Below are 17,121 nucleotides of genomic sequence, written 5' to 3'. Positions count from 1 at the left end.
ACGAGATGTATAATGTAGTTTGTGTTATTTGATGTATAAGATTAATCTACAGCTGCTAGAGTTTCTACACAAATAAGGTTCAGTTTTAGGTATTAAGCACTAAGCTTATTAACGATTTCTGCAGTAATATAAATAAAATTGCTCCCCTCACAAAAGTTCAAACATAAAACAAATAAATGAAAAAGAAAAATACACAGAATGGGAAAATACATATTTGAATGTAAACTTCTTTCTGTAATTGTGTATTTGAGAGTGTGTGTCTGTGTGAATATTATCTTTTGCCATTATTCCCCTGCGGCAAATAAACCATAAATGAATGTGAATTAAAGGTTTGTGAGTCACATTATAGGTGAAATCAAGGGCTAATAATGTTATAAATATATTTACTATGATAACTCTGAAGAAGAAAAAATTGGGGGTTTAAAAATATTACAGTTAATTTATCTATCATGCTCATGCTTTATCTTTTGTTTATGTTTTTGTTTTTTTTTCTTTCCTTTGTCCATAACCTCAGGGCTTTATATAGTTTCCTTAGCTATGAGTTTAAACATCTGATCTATTTTTCTTCCAAATGTTTTGCTTTCCTGTGTTAACATTTTATCCATCCATATTTAGCTTCGTCTATAAATAGTAAAAGTGCCAAGTAAACTATCTCAAAGAAGAATGAAGAAAAGTAGACCTGAAAATTGGGGAGAAAAGAAAAGAATTTTAACTGTTTGTAGTTATTCCTCAAATATAGTATTTTAGTAACAAAATAGATAAGCTGTTCTCTGAAAGGACAGCATATAGAAATATCACCCACAGAAACTAATAGATCTTTGACTACTGTCATGGATTTATAGTCTAGATTATTTTTTTTAAATATTTATAAGAAAATAAAAACTCATGTTCAGTTACCTGAAGGTCACATAACATGTTACTTGTTTTTAAATATCAAAAAGTTATTCTCCTTTCCATGGAAGCATTATAAGGTTTGGCTGTGCCCCCACTCAAATCTCATCTTGTATTGTAGTTTCCATAATCCACACATGTTGTGGGAGGGACATGGTGGAAAGTGATTGGATCATTGGGGAGGTTTGCCCCATGTTGTTCTTGTGATTGTGAGTTCTCACGAGATCTGATGGTTTTATCAGCATCTGGCATTTTCCCTGCTGCTGGCATTTCTCTTTCCTGCTGCCTTGTGAAGAAAAATGTGTTTGCTTCCCCTTCCACCATGATTGTAAGTTTCCTGAGGCCTCCCTAGTTACATGGAACTATAAGGCAATTAAACTTTTTTTTCTTTACAAATTACCCAGTCTTAGATATTTCTTCATAGCAGCTGAGAAGGGACTAATACAGAAAACTGGTACCAAGGTGGTGGGGAGCTGATGTAAAGACCTGAAAATGTGGAAGCAACTTTGGAAGTAACAGGCAGAGGTTGGAACAGCTTGGAGGGCTCAGAAGACAGGAAAACGTAGGAAAGTTTGAAACTCCCTAGAGATTTGGAGGACTCAGAAGAAGAGAGGAAGACGTGGGAAAGTTTGAAACTTCCTAGAGACTCGTTGAATGGCTTTGACCAAACTGCTGATAGTGATATGGACAATTAAATCCAGGTGGAGGTGGTCTCGGATGGAGATGAGGAAACTGTTGGGAGCTGGAGTAAAGGTAACTCTTGGTATACGTTAGCAAAGAGACTGGCCACATTTTGCCACTGCCCTAGAGATCTGTGGAACTTTGAACTTGATAGGGATGATTTAGGGTATCTGGCAAAAGAAATTTCTAAGCTGCAAAGCATTCAAGAGGAATCAAAAGGACAAATGTTTGAAAAATTTGCAGGCTCACAATGCAATAGAAAAGAGAGCCATATTTTCTGGAGACAAATTTAACCCCGCTGCAGAAATGTGCATAAATAATGAGGAGCCAAATGTTAATCACCAAGACAATGGGCCAAATGTCTACAGGGCACGTCAGAGACCTTCACAGCAACCCCTCCCATCACAGGCCTAGAGGCCTAGGAGGGGAAAATGGTGGGACAAGGACAGGGACAGGGAACCGTACTCTGTGCAACCTCAGGATGTGGTGCCCTGCATCCCAGCTGCTTCAGCTTCAGCTTCAGCTGTGGCTAAAATGGGCCAAAGTCCAGCTTGGGCCATTGCTTCAGAAGGTGCAGGCCCCTAGCCTTGGTGGCTTACACCTGGTGTTGGGCCTGCAGGTGCACAGAAGTCAAGAACTGAGGTTTGGAAACCTCTGCCTAGATTTCAGAGGATGTATGGAAATGCCTGGATGTCCAGGCAGAAGTCTGCTGCAGGGGTAGAGACCTCATGGAGAACCTCTGCTAGGGCAGTACAGAAGGGGAATATGGGGTTGGAGCACCCACACAGAGTCCCCTTTGGGACACTGCTTAGTGGAGCTTTGAGGAGAAGACTACCATGCTACAGACCCCAGAATGGTAGATCCACTGACAGTTTGTACTGTGCACATGGAAGAGCCACAGACATTGAATGCCAGCTCATGGAAACAGCTAGGAGTGGGGCTGTACCCTGCAAAATGTAGGGGTGGAGCTTCTCAAGGCTGTGGGAGCTCACCTCTTGCATCAGCATGACCTGGATGTGGGACATGAAGTCAAAGGAGATTATTTTGGAACTTTAAGGTTTAATGACTGCCCTATTGGATTTCGTACTTGCATGGGGCCTGCAGCCCCTTTGTTTTTCAAATTTCTCCCATTTGGAATGGGTGTATGATATGGGATTGGCTTTTTCTCCACCCAAATCTAATCTGGAATTGTAGTTTCCATTATCCCCACATGTTGTGGGAGGGATCTGGTGGGATGTAAATGAATAATGGGGACAGTTCCCCAATGCTATTCTTGTTACAGTGAGTAAGTTCTCAGAAAATCTTTTGGTTTCATAAGGGGCTTCCTGCTTTGCTCATTTCTCCTCCTTTCTGCTGCCATGTGAAGGACTGGTTTGCTTCCCCTTCCACCATGATTGTAAGTTTCCTGAAGCTCTTCCAGCCATGCTGAACTGTGAGTCAATTAAACGTCTTTCCTTTATAAATTACCATCTCTGGCATGCCTTTACTAGCAGCATGAGAATGAACTAATACAATGTATTTATCTAATGCCTGTACCCCCATTGTATCTAAGAAATAACTAATTTCCTTTTGATTTACAGGCTCCTGGATGGAAGGGACTTGCCTTGTCTCAGATAAGACTTTGGACTTGGACTTCTGACTTAATGTTGAAATGAGTTAGGACTTTGGAGGACTGTTGGGAATGCATGATTTTGTTTTGAAATGTTTGGATATGAGATTTGGGAGGGGCCACGGGTGGAATTACATGGTTTGGCCATGCACCCACCCAAATCTCATCTTGCATTTTAGTTCCCATAATCTCCACATGTCGTGGGAGGGATCTGGTGGCAAGTGACTGGACTGTGGAGGCAATTTCCCCCATGCTGTTCTCATGATACTCAGTGACTTCTCATGAGATCTAATGGTTTTAGAAGGGGCTTTTCCCCCTTTTCCTCAGCACTTCTCCTTGCTGCTGCCATGTGAGGAAGGACATGTTTGATTCCCCTTCTGCTATAATTGTAAGTTTCCTGAGGGCTCCCCAGCCATGTGGAACTGTGAGTCAATTAAACCTCTTTTCTGTATAAATTACCTAGTCTTGGGTATTTATTCATGCAGTTTGAGAATAGACTAATACATGTTATTTTCAATGTAGATATACCTCTTGTTCATTCAGGTATTCTTAAGAAAAACTTGACTAAACATTTACAATAACATTCTGCAATATTAACTGATTTCATTCACTTTTTAGTGTTTACTAAGGATACAGGACGATTTTAAAGTAATTTATAATACTTTCATTTTTATTTTGATGTCAGCTAACTTCCTGTTTCTAGTCAGACATGTAACAAACTTGGAAGTCATCAGTTGTGTCCCCATCACAAGAAACAAAATGCTGAATAAACTAAAAAATCAACTCATTTTAGAACTATTGAGAATTGAGGCCACAGCACTAACTACTGCTCTCAAAACTATACAAACAGATACATATAGAGAACCACAGCTCACAAAGACCACAAGCTGTTGCTGGAGCAGGCAACTGGTAGGTACATGTAAAAGGTTAAGTGAATAATTTTTAGAGACATGTATGGCCCACCTTGAGAAACAAAAACTTCCAGGGTGCTCAACATTATAGAGATCCCCACACTTTTGTGAGTTTTACCAGCAGGATTCTCACTGAGTTCTTAAGGTGAAGATCGGGGAAAAAAATCTCTTTGCAATTCCAATAGAGGGAGTAAAGAAGTAACATTTTCTAGTAAGCCCAGAGCACTATGTTCTCCTCAATAAAGGTCTTCCCTAAAGGGAAATTATGTTACCAGAACCTAACTGACTTGAGTTTTACCAGAGCCTAGTCAACCTGGGGAAGAGAAATAACCAGCTACTACCTGCATGTTAATAATTATGACAGTTTTGTTCTTAATTGACAAAAATTAAAAGCAACTAAAATGCCCTTCAATAGTTGAACAGATGAACCAACATGATACATTTAAATAAAGACATATTATTCTGTGAAAAAAAGTGATTGAGTCATGAAAAGACATGAAGAAACTATAAATGTATACTGCAAAGTAAAAGAAGCAAGTCTAAAAGACCACATTATATGATTCTGTCAATATAACAATTGCAAGGGACAAAGGTAATAGGCAAAAAAGACTCTATTCACAATGATTTCAACAGAGTAGAGAGACTGAATTCAACTCTGCTAAAACAAAAGTCAAAAGGATTTGTAAACAAAGGGGTGGTCTGATGGAAAAGTATTGGAAGACAATAGCAAGGAGGTTGATCAAAGAGATGTCTTCAGCACATTGAGTTATACTTGAGTTTGCAAAGGATTTTTGCTGTGATTAGGCCCAACTGTGTTTGCTAATCGGTAGGCCCCTTACCCTCCCAAAGAGACTGAGAGATAGAGGTGCAATCCTCTTCCATGTTTATATTTGAAAGGGATGATTCTCAGGTTCTCAATAAAGACATTTCCTGGATTGTTAAACTGAGGCTGGAAGAAGATTTAAATCTACTCAAAAGGACAGAGAGACAATTTACAATTACCAGGTTTCTAAAGTAAATGCGCTAACAAAAAGAAAGTCAAGGGGCTCATAGTAAGGAAAAAATCTGTCTAAGGTTTAGTTAACTGAGAGGTCTCTGTTGGTCAAGTCCAATTATATAAAACTCTAGAAAAGGCAAAACTATTGAAACAGTAGAAAAATCACTGGTTGCCAAAAATGTGGGAGGATATGTGAAGACCAGGGATGTATGGTGGTGGGAGTCGGGGAGTACAGGAAAATTTTAGGGCAGTGAAACAATTCTGTTTTATACCATAATGTTGGATACATGACGTTATGCATTTGTGAAAACACATAGAAGTGTACAACAGAAGGAACGAACCCTAATTTAAACTGGGGCTTTTAGTTAATTACATATCAATATTGGTTCATCAATCACACAATGGATTATGCTGATAATAGGGGAAACTGGGAGGTGAGAAGAAAGAATATACAGGAACTCTACTTGCGGCTCAATTTTTCTGTTAGCTTAAAACTGTTTAAAAATAAATTCAATTAATTATTTTTAAAAATGTCATCACAATTTTTTACATTACTCAGTTGCTTCATGTTGTTATTCTTACATTGTTTTCCTCAAAGCACTATCAGGAGTATTCTCAATGTTCACCATATATCATTTGGGATTAAATTATACTTAGATAAAATATAGATTGCATAAAATACTATTAAAATACTACCTTTGGAAACACTTTAAAAGTTTTATTTCATACTTTTTATGCTAGTAATTTAATACAGTCATTTCTTATATTCTATTTAGGAAGTTCCCTTCTAAATCTCGTCTTATATAAATTAACTTATTTTTAAATCAAAATTACCTATCGTTTCATCAGTTTTAAAAGAAACTATATCATCTTCAGTGTGCTTCTGTCTACAAATTATGAATTGATAAAATCAGAATTATTTTTTTCAAGGACAACCTGAAAATCTTCTCTTCTACTAAACTGTAATATAAAATGGCAATCTGGAAAAATCCTTGATTCTTTTAAATTGTTCTGTTGCATTCACATACCTACTTATATGTAATAATTACAAAATGTGCTCCACACAAGTCTTCTAGGACATGCATTCCCCAAGATCACAATAAAATTTTAAAAATTCTAATACCCAGATAGACACAAAACAGACTTGAAAATTATGTTTGATGACTGACAGCAAAAACAATGTTGTCATGTCCCCACAGCTGTTTTGTGAGAAAAACTACCCATATGAAGATTACCAGCAAGATTACGTAGATGACATTCTGAAGCTCATGGGCTACAAAGACAGTTCCACAAGGTATTATAAATTTATTGTTAGAGCTTGTTCACACTTGCTGAAACCAAATACACGTATATCTCCAGAAAGTAAAAATAATAGGCTAAACAATGCACAGTGGTGTTTTCTCTGAACTAGGCTTTTCATTTGGGGTATCCATTCAGTGTCTCGTTAGAGAAGTGAGTTTCTTCACTCATAACTATCTCAAGTACAGGTGCATTTAGGAATTGGGGGGAAAAAACTATGCTAAGAAACTCCTTTCTCATTTTCCTAGCTTAGTGTTTATTGATTTTTCCAAATTATCTTTATGTAGGGCTAAGTGAGATTTCAAAAATCATTTTAGAAAATGCCTATAATTAGTAAAATTTCCACATATGGATGTCTTTTATCCTAAGATTCATACAAGCTTGCATATATTTTTCTTGATTCTCAGCTAATCTCCAATGAAGAAATATATATATATGTCACACACAAATATAAATACCTATGACATGGGATGGATATAGGGCAGTGTAACTCAAAGATGGGTTTCTAGAGTGGTGCTAATTTGCAAATTATTGTTGCAAGTCCTTGACAAGATATTTTAAAAATTTATTATCAATTTGAAAAATGAAGATAAATTATGATTCAATTTTTAGTTTTTTGATAAAGTATTTCTGTTAAATATAATAATAAAAAGGTAGATTTCTACTTTACATCTTTTAAAGTTTATTTTTCTAGTGTTTTTACTTTTATTTTAATATTACTAAACTAACTACTGGTCATTAGCAACTGATAAATTTAGAAAAAGAAAACCTTGCTGTCAGGGACATGGTTGTTTATTGGTTAATTTACCTCTTTCAGTCTTGCAGAGTTTTGAAGAACTGAGAGCCTGAAGTTAATTTCCAAAGTTCAGATCCCAAATGTCCTCTTCCTTTCTATGAGACACTGGGTGGTTATTAACCTGTGTGTCTTTCATGATGTATGTGTGGCATTTAGCTCTGTGCCTGACATATGCTAAGTGATTAACAAATGTCAGTAACATTTATTATTGTTACTCACTGAGACAAAGAAAATCTCTTATTCTACTTTCTCCCTATAATCCTCCAATTCAGTTCTTCATCCTTCTCTGAGAAAAAAAATAAAAACAAAACAACAACAACAACAAAACTCATAAGATTTGTCTATAGTTAATTGAGAGAATTGTGAGGAGAGGCAAAATTATAAGTTAAGACATCAGCCTAGGGAGGAATAACTTTGAAACTCCTAACTCCATGTAAAAATAAAACCTCAGACATGCAATAATCATGCATTAAATAATTAAACACATATAGTTATCAGACCTTTACATACAAAATTAAAACTTGTCTTTCTCATTATATTTAAATGGAAATGAAAGCTTTCTGATTTTGTTTACTAATTTATATCCCCGGCACCACACAGAGTGCATGGTAGGTAGAAGCATCTCAATAAAGGCTTATTAAGTAGATAAATAAAAATAAAGTAAAGAGAGACGATAGGTTTATAGATATCTCCTTTTTAAATTTTCCCATAGCAGCTCATCTAACAGCAGAAAAAGAAGGGCAAAGGCTGAAATCAGAATTCTCTTATTCTGGCATTTGTTTTCTTCATACTTTTTAGACTATCATAACAATTTGTACAAAATTATTATAACACATCTTCTGGTCAATTAATCATACCAGATTATAACAAAGCAAACTTCTGTGGCTCTAAAACAGTACACTTAAAGTGTGTTCTACAAACAACCTAAATAATTATAACTGGAGAATAAATTAAACATGAGTATTCTAAGCCCTTAACATTTGTTAAGTGGTGGTGAGCAGAACTTTATTTTAGAAATGACTTGGCCTCATCTTTTTGTAGTTAAATGTTGTCTCATATTAGCAACCAGTGTTTCAAATACTGCATTTATAGCAATCCTTATTTTCCTTTGTTATGTTGCAATACTTAAAACAATCTGACAAAAGCTCTGGATTCACACTCAAAAATAAATAAATGAATGCACTTATAAGTATAAACATATCTTTTATACTAGTATTTAATTTCAAGGGATTCATGGAGTCCCTGAGAGGAAAATGGACCCAAAGTTTTACAATTCTTGTTTACAGGGCTTTTCCAACTTCCGACTCACACACAAAATCATTTTTCTTTTGGAAGTGATTTCAATTTATTTTTTCCCATATAATCAGACTTGTACTTAACAACATCAAATTATTTTTTAAAAAAACATATTTATGAAATAATTTGAGACAAAATATTATTTTATCTTTGAATAGTAAGTTTCATACTGTGATTACTAACATAATTTGATATATGTGTCTATATGTTTTGAATACTTTGTGTTATTTTTCTTTGCTTCAGTCTTCTTCCTTCTTTTCTTCTATTATATTTTGGGACTTTAGTTCTTCTTTTCTTCTATGTTTTCTCTGCACTGGGTTTGAATTTGACATTCTACTGTTTTTCTTTTCATTACCATGAAAGTTTCACACCTATTCTAAACATGTATAAAATAATTCAGTCATTTTATATTTCAAAAATTGAATATTTTAATTCCAACTTCTATCCTCCCATATTTCATGTTTATTAAATAGATTTTATTGTGTGTATTTGAAGTTTATGACATGATATTATGGAACTCATATAGATAGCAAAATGATTACTACAAGTGAAGTAGATTAACGTATCTATCATCTAGTTACATTTTTGTGACAAGAGCAGCTAAACTCTACTTAATTGACAAAACTCTCTAATACAATGCAACTTTATTAACTTTAGTATTCATGTTGTATATCAGATCTCTAGATTTTTTTCATCCTATATATATGTTATTTTGTATCCTTTGACCCACATCTTCCCATTTTCTCTTCCCTCACTCCCACCTCCACCCCACTATCTCTGAGTATTTGAGCTGTTATAAAACATATACTCCACATATAAGTGGAATTATGCATCATGCAATATTTTTCTTTCTGTGTCTGGCTTATTTTACTTAGCATAAATTCCTCCAAGTCCACCCATGTTGTGGCAAATAATGGAATTTGCTTCTTTTTTTAAACTGTGAATATTATTCCATATCATTCCACATATATATGTGTGTGTGTGTGTGTGTGTGTGTTGTATATATACGTATATATGTAGTACATATATACATATATATACATATATACACATATATGTGGTACATATATACGTATATATGCATATATATACACACCACATTTTCTTTATCCATTTGTCTGTCAATGAACATTTAGATTTTTAGGTGGTTCTCATATCTTGCCTATTGTGAACAATGCTGCAATGGACATGAAGGTGCAAATATCTTTACATGGTGATGATTTTATCTTCTTTAGGGGGTAGCCAGAAAGAGATTGCTGGATCACATAGTAGCTCTATTTTCATTTCTTTACAAACCTTTATACTATTTTCTATCATATTCCATATTATTGTTGGTATTTTAAACTTCACTGATTAATCATTGATATATGATTTTAAGTCAATATTTATAGATGAAAATTTTTATAATTTAATTTCACCAACATCACGGGTCTGCCATAGGTTTACTGAGATCTGTATTTTATTATAGATTTTGGAAAGTAAAAGTTCTCCCACTCCACCTCACCTCCAGGTTCCAGTCAGTAAGCTTATTTGCAACCTCTGAAGAATAGAGGATAAAGAATTTATAATCTCTGTTTCACAGATTTGACAGAAGTTTTCACATCTACTTCACACAGTTACCTTTCTATTTTGGCAGGAGGCTAGGAATTATCTCTTATCATCTCATTGTAATAAAACCTCAACTCCCTAATCATTGTCTTACATACCATTTGATATCTCATGAGCTAGGTAGCTCCAACTTGTGCTCATCTGATCTGAGTTTTGGCAGCTGGAATGTTCATAGTAATTTATTTTACTTCCACATTTTTTAAAACTTGAAATTATCCAGCATTTTTTTTTTTTTTTTGAGACAGAGTTTCGTTCTTGTTGCCCAGGCTGGAGTGCAATGGTGCAATCTTGGTTCAGTGCAACCTCCGCCTCCTGGATTCAAGCAATTCTCCTGCATCAGCCCCCCGAGTAGCTGGGATTACAGGCACCCACCACCACACCCAGCTAATTTTTTGTATTTTAAGTAGAAATGGGGTTTGATCATGTTGGCCAGGCTGGTCTCAAACTCCAGACCTCAGGTGATCCACCCGCCTCGGCCTCCCAAAGTGCTGGGATTATAGGCATGAGCCACTGCGTCCGGCCAGTATTTTTTGTTTCTTTAATGAAACAGCTATTTCTTCTAATTTAGCTCACCCTGCCATCGTAACCAGAAGTCCTCATTAGCACTATTATACACGACACATCTCTTGGAGTGTAAAATTGTTTCTCCAATTTATCGGTAAATATGGAAAACTTGGCATTATCCAAAGTTTTACAATTAATTTAAATTTTAACTGTTTGGCATATTAATTGTTACTATCTTCTTTTAAAAAAATTGAATGTTATAATTAAATACTGCCTAGAATCATTTTCAAAGATTTAATACATTTAAAATTTAGTGTGCTTTATATTGCTTACATAAAAATAAAACTCTTGTTTAAATCTGCTATGGCATGTATCTTGTGTGGAATTTGTGATCACAAAAACTGAAGAATTAAAGAGTTGCAAGCAGTTCCTTGTCAAAATGTAAACTTGTTGTTTTTACTAATAATATTATACACTTTAGTTTTGTGTTTAAATGGAAAGAAAATACTAAAGTCCTATAAAAATTTATGTTTCTTTTATTTAATGCTCATGGCTGTAGTTTCATGGAATCTCAAAATGGCAATGTATAAACTCTTGCCATTTGACCTATAAATCGGAATATAAAAACAAGTTTCACATATTTTAAGTAACATTGAAAGAATATTTTCTTTTCTGTCAGCCAAATGATATTGTTATACGCATTAAATAATGTTTTAAATACATCAGAGCATAGTAGGAATTAATATCCTATTAAAAATTATTTGATAAATTTAAGTACAGTAAATAATCTGTGAATTATATAATGTTAGCTTGAAGAGTAGAGTAAGACAAATCATATTTATGTTAATATCACAAAGATGTATGTCTATCATAACTTCATGAATATATATCATTTACTTTTTTTTTACTAATATACAATTGAATTCATTTTGAATTATGTGCTAAATTACATTTATTTTTGCTTATAGACAGGACCATATTTATTTCCCACAGCATACTGATATTTAATTTTGTTTTGCTGAAAAATAATAAATTACTCAGGTAAACAAAGATGAGGCCCATTAACAAGAAGATTTTGAGGAGAAGTTGGTTAGTTGTGTCAAAGAATGGATGGCTAGCCATAACGTATGATATACTTTTATTCACAATTGCTTATCCTCCCACTTTCATGGAGCATGGATCTTTCATCACCCCAGAGGGTTACATGATCAAGCCCCTGAAGCTCGCCCCATGAGTGCTCCGAACAGCAAAGTTCATGTTTTCATCAGATTTTCTAGGTGATCTGAAAATAGAAATATCTCTAAACCCACTTACAGATCTAGCTAATAAGTACAAGCTTTACTTTCTCTGTGATTATCTAACCTAATAAAATATAAGAGTATTTTATGTTACATGGCTGGGGAAATAGAGCATCATAGTTCTCATTTGGATTTAGTTAGGCATTGGATTTAGTTAAATTTGGATTTAGTTGGGTGGAATTGATGTGTATTCAATTGGGAAGAACATTTGAAGCTACATGGATTTACATATTTATAAACAATATATGACCCTAATTTTAGTATATTGTTTTCTATAAGCACATCTGCAGTCTGTCATAAAATCTTTCATTAATTTCATCATTGCTATCACTTTTTTCATCGCATGTAATTGAATCTAGACTGTCTGAAAAAGTTAGGGAAGACACTCATGGACCAAAAGAACATCTAAGCTTCTTAATTTATATTTCAGAGTTAAAGATTAAATAAATTACCAATAATGTGAAACTAGAGACAAAAAAAAAGAAGTCAAAATGTAAACAAAAATAGAAGTCAGTCTTCTGCTTTCGGTTTTGTCTTTACATCTCACTATCTTAACTTGCATAAAATAATAACAAAAATATCCCCAGGGAAGCATTCGCAGGTTAACTGAACCGTTACTTAATATTTGCCTTTAGCATTACCAATGGTTCCCAAGGTAAGAGATAAAACGGGGACCTATTTCCTAATATATCTAGAGCAGCATTAAAACAAAGCTGGCCTTAGGCAAAATCCCAAGCTAGGATATATCCCAGGAGGCTTTAATTTATTTTGCCAGGGGTGTTTTTCCACTGCTCATTATCTTCTCTCAACAACCACATTAGAGTCCAGGAATTGTTGATAAGGGTTTTACCCCCTAGGTCCAGTCTTCCAGTAATTTAAGTCAGTAGTCATTTCAGAATGTGAAAATCACTAACAACTATTGTAAACTTGTGGCCCAAAATTTTTCATATTTTACTTCCAGAAGTGTATTAATCTGCACTATATTTCTGGGGAAATTATATGGAGTGGGAAGCCTTTGTATTTGCTGTTGAAAGATATCTTAGATGGTGACTGTCAGTGGGAAGGAAATGGAATAAAAAATAATTGGGGGAATGAGGAAAACTCTATGGGGGGATAGAGCCTTTTGGAATGGGGCTTTGAGGTGATGTGGGAAAGTACTTCTATAGAACAAGAAACCTCTTTAAATGTGAAGCATTGGTTTTTATAATTTATATATATATATTTATATACATACATATTTTATATACATATGTTTAATAATAATAAATACCATTTACTGACTGTTATAATTTATCAAGCACTTTTGGCTGCTTTGAATATATAAAATTAATGCTGATAATATTTCCATTTATCCATTTTATGGTGGACACTAGAACAAAAATTGAAATTACCTTAAAAGTGAAAGCATCATTTTGGTTAGGACTTCAGAAACAGATTTTCAGAAATGATTGTACTTTTAGAATTTCCTTTTAGGAAAAGCAGTGAATATGTAAGTGAAAAGTTGACGTTGGAGAAAAGGAGATAGAAAAAGAAGGAAAAACATTCTAGATAGATTTAATCCGCACAAAGGCACTGATTTGCAAGCAACAAATATATTAATTCTTCATAATTACTATGTTACAAAATGAGAAATTAAAAAGTAAAACTAGGCTAAGATGGGGAGACATTCTATATGCAGCATGATGACAGTTATTGATAATGATTATGGATTTGTTAAGGAGAAAATAGAATTGGGAGGATATAGAAAAGCTCACAGAATAAAGAGATAGCCTGAAGAATTAGCCTCAAAAATAAATGTGCATAGCTGAAGGAATAGACAATGGACAGCATAGTTATTCATGGGCCTGGCCTGCCTGCCCTGCCTGGATGATTCCATTGGGTTCTTGTTAACAGTGTCATTGCCTCCAAAAACTTCACAGTCCTCAATGCACAGTCTCTATGGCTATTGGTCAACAGCACGACCACTCTGCATCATCTCCAAATGATTTGAATCTTTGAGTCATTTCCTCTAATTACAAATCTTGCTTTAGAGCATCTGTGTGGCCAAGCTTGGTTCACCCATCTATGTCTCAGCTGTCAACATCCCAGGTGAGGTATTTACTGTCTGGTCACATTCAGCTCTCTACTAAAGGAGGATCCCTGGATCTATTTCCCACAAAACTCACACAATGGAGGCATTCCACAAATGGACAGGAGAATATTTTTTGGACAGCAGCCAATTGAAGAAATAATTATAAAATTTTGCTTACATTTTAGATGCAAGCAGTTCTCATTTTGCAAGATCCTGTTATGCTCAAATTTCAGTTTTCATAGTTTAGTTAAATAACAACAGTTTCCTAAAAAGAAGTTCACATTTTAGTTGGTATATTAACTATGAGTAAAGGTGTAAAGTACAATCCTTGCTGCTAGTTTTTCAGTCCACAAATCACCACATAAAAACAGATGAACATCATAATCAGTGACTAACTACACCTTTTTTTTTCAAATTCTGTTGGTGATTGGTCACTTCACATCTGTTATTAGGTTCATGCACAGACAGCAAAGCATGTATTTGCAACTTCTCTGTCTCCTGGTAATGTATCATTTTATAAAAATAAAAATAAAAAAACAGAAAGAGGGAATTGGCCAATAAAGATGAAAATGCCACAAAGAATCAAAAAGTGGTAACGCTGCAAGTGAAATTTGAATGTACTTATAGAACAAAGAGCTAATTTTAAGAATATTGACACTGCTGCTGTTCAAGAGACTCTAGATATGTAGTTACGGGCACTCAATGAAGGTGAACTTATTCACATATGTAAAAAAATTATTTGTGACAACTAAGACAATGTCTCAGAAGAAGTAATGCTGGCAAAAAAATTCAAATGAAAGAAAATTTCATAGATATTTCATGAAATTGATAAATGTGTTTCTTTATTTACCATATTAAAACCAATTATTTACCATATTAAAATCAATTAACTTTACAGAAAATAAAACTCACAGATGGTGTCTGTGAGTTTTATTTTCTGTAAAGTTAGTATCTTTGCCCTTTATAAAGAATGTTAAGATAATACATTGTGAAAGTATAAAATCTGACGCCTCTTGAAATGAATACCTATTATGTTGTTATCCACTAATAAGAATACTCTCAAAAAAATTTGTGGTGAATACAAAATCATGATTTTCTAATTCCATCATTCCTCCTGCATTTTTTTTTTTTTGCCATTCTACAAGGAAGAGATTTCCCTTCCCTCATTTTATTTATTTGTGGATTTGTTTGTTTAGATGTATTCTTATTTCATTCTATGAGCTATAATCAATTACTCTCATTCGGACAGTGGGAGCAACTTTAAGCTGACTCCTGGCACAGTAATTTGTCCTTTAGACACGGCCCCATCATTTTTTGAGTACATCCCACCTTCCTATCATGGCATATTTTTTCTTATATTTCCAAGCCTAATCTTAACTCTACCTACAAATTCTCCAAGTAACCTTCATTCCTTTTCATGAAGATTTATATTTAAAAATTAAGATTTAGTCTCTAATTATTCTCATTGCTCCTGAGTGTCACTGTCATTGGTTCTAGACTCTTCTGAGTGTACAGAGCTAGAAATCAGATTTAAGTAGGACTACATATGTAAAAACATGCATGATGTTGATCTGTATCTATTATTGATATATCTCTTTATCTAAAGCTATGGATTTATATTGATATGGGTTCACTAAGCAGAGATTCTATATTTAACATTACAGCTCAGTGAGTTATAAAAAACTCCAGTAGTTTCGTTCGTTTACAGAAACATGGACCAAAAAGCAGCCCACAGTGAGTTACTTGGAAATGCCGGACCTATTTTGGTTTTATGTAGAATTCATAGGCTTAGGTAAATTGGAAATCCATATTAATCAAGTTGCTCCAGAGAAACCGAGCCAATAGTTTTGTGTGTGTGTGTGTGTGTGTGTGTGTGTGTATTTATATATATATGTTTATGTATCTATGTGTATGTGTGTGTGTGTATTTATATATATATGTATTTATGTATCTATGTGTATGTGTGTGTGTGTATTTATATATATATGTATTTATGTATCTATGTGTATGTGTGTGTGTGTGTGTGTTTGTTTATATGATTCATAATACAGAATTGGCTCACATGATTATGGAGGCTGAAATATCCCAAGACCTATAGTCAGCAAGTAGAGACCCATGGGAGAACTAATATGTAGTTGTAGTTCCAGTCCAAGTCCAAAAACCTAAGAACCAGGAGAACCAATGGTGTAAATTCCAGTTTGAACACCTGCAGGTTAGAGACCCAAGAAGAGCTAATGTTTCTGTTTGATTCTGAAGATTGGAAAAAGGCCAGTGTCCCAGCTCAAAGCAGTCAGACAGGAGGAGTTCCCTGTATCCCTGTATCATTCCACCTGGGTGAGAGTCTTACTTAGAGTCATTCAGTCATAATACTACAGATGGTAGCTTTGCCCCATTAGTTCCTCAGTCACCTCCACTTCATATCCAACAGCAGACAAAAGATCCTAGACTTTTCTCTTTGCAGATACGTAGCACCATTTTTCAACAGTAATGACCGTGGTTATCATTCTTATGAATGCATTAACTTATTCCTTAATGCTACAATATGCAGACAGTATTAATAGTTACACAATCGCTAGTCAACATCTTCGATAAAAATAAATTACTAACTACAGTTTAATGTTTGCTTATTTTTTGTCTTTAACTTGAAAGTATATAGTCAGATTACTCTGTTCAAGAGTTTTGAGTTAATTCCCCTATCTTGCCTATGTGATTGTATCTTTTCTTTAATGCACGGTTAGGTACATTTGTCTCTGTATTCCACTTTCTACCATGTTTGATATTGTTACATATATATTTTTTGATTATGTAAAACATAACTTGGTTCTAAAAGTTAAACTAATATAAGTGTTATACTCAGAGAAATATTATTCCCTTATCTCTTTTACCGTATTTGTTTTGACCCTCTCTCATCCACACATTCCAACTTCCCTCTGAAGGCGACCGATTGCATCAGCTTCTGTTTTATCCTTCATGAGTGTGTATGTGTGTGTTTGTTTTGTTTTGCACAAATTAGCAAATATGTGTATTCTTTATTTGTTCCCTTTATTTCATGCATAAAAGCTAGCAGACCATAGACACTGTTTTGCATTTTGCTTTTTGCACTACGTCATCTGTTAAGAAATTATTCCACGTTAATTCTATTAATTCATATCTATTTTTA

This window comes from Homo sapiens, chromosome 13 (assembly GCF_000001405.40).
Source record: "Homo sapiens chromosome 13, GRCh38.p14 Primary Assembly".
In the NCBI taxonomy this organism is placed as follows: Eukaryota; Metazoa; Chordata; class Mammalia; order Primates; family Hominidae; genus Homo; species Homo sapiens.
The sequence above is the reverse complement of the archived record's forward strand: the minus strand, read 5'-3'. Positions refer to the sequence as shown.